The following is a 1,791-nucleotide window of genomic DNA, read 5'->3' as shown; positions in this document are numbered from 1 at the left end:
GAATTCATACATGAATGCATAATGCCATCGCTCACTACCAAAAATTTTGCAGTAGAGCTTCCCACATTTGGGGCAATTCCAGGGATCAGCATATCCCTATGATGGATCCAGAGTGGAATGGATAAGCCTTGCCCTGGGAAAACTGCCTTTAAGATCATGGTATCTGCCCTGCCAGGTAAGTATGAAACTGGATATTTCTAAGGCACATTGGAACAAACCTCATTTTTAGCCACAAGTTATGGGTATCTTGAAAAGCCCTTATTGCAAAACACATAGAAATAGCAGGTAAAATACAGTCAACATGGACTTAAATGCCTAGTTGTGCTTCCAGGAGGATAAGGAAACCCCCGGGGGAAGATGGCAAAGCAGAAAACCTGAATGGCCAATGAATGCAAAACCATGGCTGCTAGGGAAACATTTCCCAACCTCAAGAATCTAGAGACGTGAATCTGAAGGCTGAGTGGGGTGGCAGAAGACAAGGCTTTAGGTCACTGCCAGGTAGAGACCTCTGCATACGTTCAGAACTCATTAATCAGGAATTAAAAGCTTCTAACAAAAGTAAAGAGATAAAAAAGGAGCTTGTTCATCTCATGTTCATTGCAGCATTATTCATAATAGCCAAGAGGTAAAAGCAACCTAAATATCTGTCAAGAGATGAATGGATTTTAAAAAGTGGTATATACACAATAAATTATTATTCAGCCTTAAAAAAAAAGGAAATCCTTTCATATGTCATAACATAGATAAACCTTGGGGATACTATACTAAGTGAAATAAACCAGTCACAAAAATACAAACACAGTGCTGCATGATCCTTCTTATATGAGGTTTTTAAAGTAGTCAAACTCTTAGAAACAGAGACGTAAAATGGCAGATGCCAGGGACTAGCGGAGGGGGAAAAGAGGACTTGTTCAATGGGTATAGAGTTTTATAGGTGAATCCCACACTCTAATCCTACTCAAGCTGGTATAGAGGATGGGAACAAAGATAAGACTATAGATTTATGAACAATAAAAAGTGTAAACCAAGCATTCTATACCTAGCCAAACTGTCATTCACATATGGAGACAAAAAGAGAAAAAGAGTTTCAAACATGCAGGAATGTAGGACAATCATTTGTACAACCTTACTGAAAAATTGTTCTCTGAATTAAAATAAATGTGGCCGGGCACAGTGGCTCATGCCTGTAATCCCAGCACTTTCGGAGGCCAAGGTGGATGGATCACTTGAGGCCAAGGTTCAAGGCCATCCTGGGTAACATGGTGAAACCCCATCTCTAGTAAAAACTCAAAAATTAGTTGGGCCATGGTGGCGGGCTCCTGTAATCCCAGCTGAGGCAGGAGAATCACTTGAACCTGAGAGGCAGAGGCTGCAGTGAGCACAGCACTGCACTCCAGCCTGAGTGACAGAGGGAAACTATGCCTCCGAGAAAAACCAAGCGGACAGACAAATACATTTTACACTTTCAAAGATCAAATTATTTGTGATTATAGTGCTCATCATTTACTGAGCATATAATCCCTACCAGTAGTTTCACTAGATACTTTGTAAATGCCATTTCTGTCTATCCTTCAACAAGCCTCTAAATTAGATGTTCTATCCACTTTATGGATATGAGAAATCTAAGAGAACTGACTAACCCACTCTTAGATTTCTCATCTATGAAGTTGACAAAATAGCTCATTTACAGGCTTTGTAATTTCTAAAATATCATATAGCTAGGATTGTAAATTGATCCTGGTACTTTTTGATTTTTTGAGTTAAAGTTCATGCTGAAGCGTGTTGGGTTGA

The 1,791-nt window shown here is 39.6% G+C and overlaps 1 pseudogene; it reads right to left on the bottom strand.

Moving 5' to 3' along the window:
• Nucleotides 1–7: 7 nt before the first annotated feature.
• LOC124905336 (uncharacterized) lies at nucleotides 8–183 on the bottom strand (annotated as a pseudogene).
• Nucleotides 184–1,791: the final 1,608 nt, after the last annotated feature.

Source organism: Homo sapiens, unplaced genomic scaffold (assembly GCF_000001405.40).
Source record: "Homo sapiens unplaced genomic scaffold, GRCh38.p14 Primary Assembly HSCHRUN_RANDOM_CTG27".
Taxonomy (NCBI): domain Eukaryota; kingdom Metazoa; phylum Chordata; class Mammalia; order Primates; family Hominidae; genus Homo; species Homo sapiens.
This window is presented reverse-complemented; position numbering and strand designations above follow the sequence as displayed.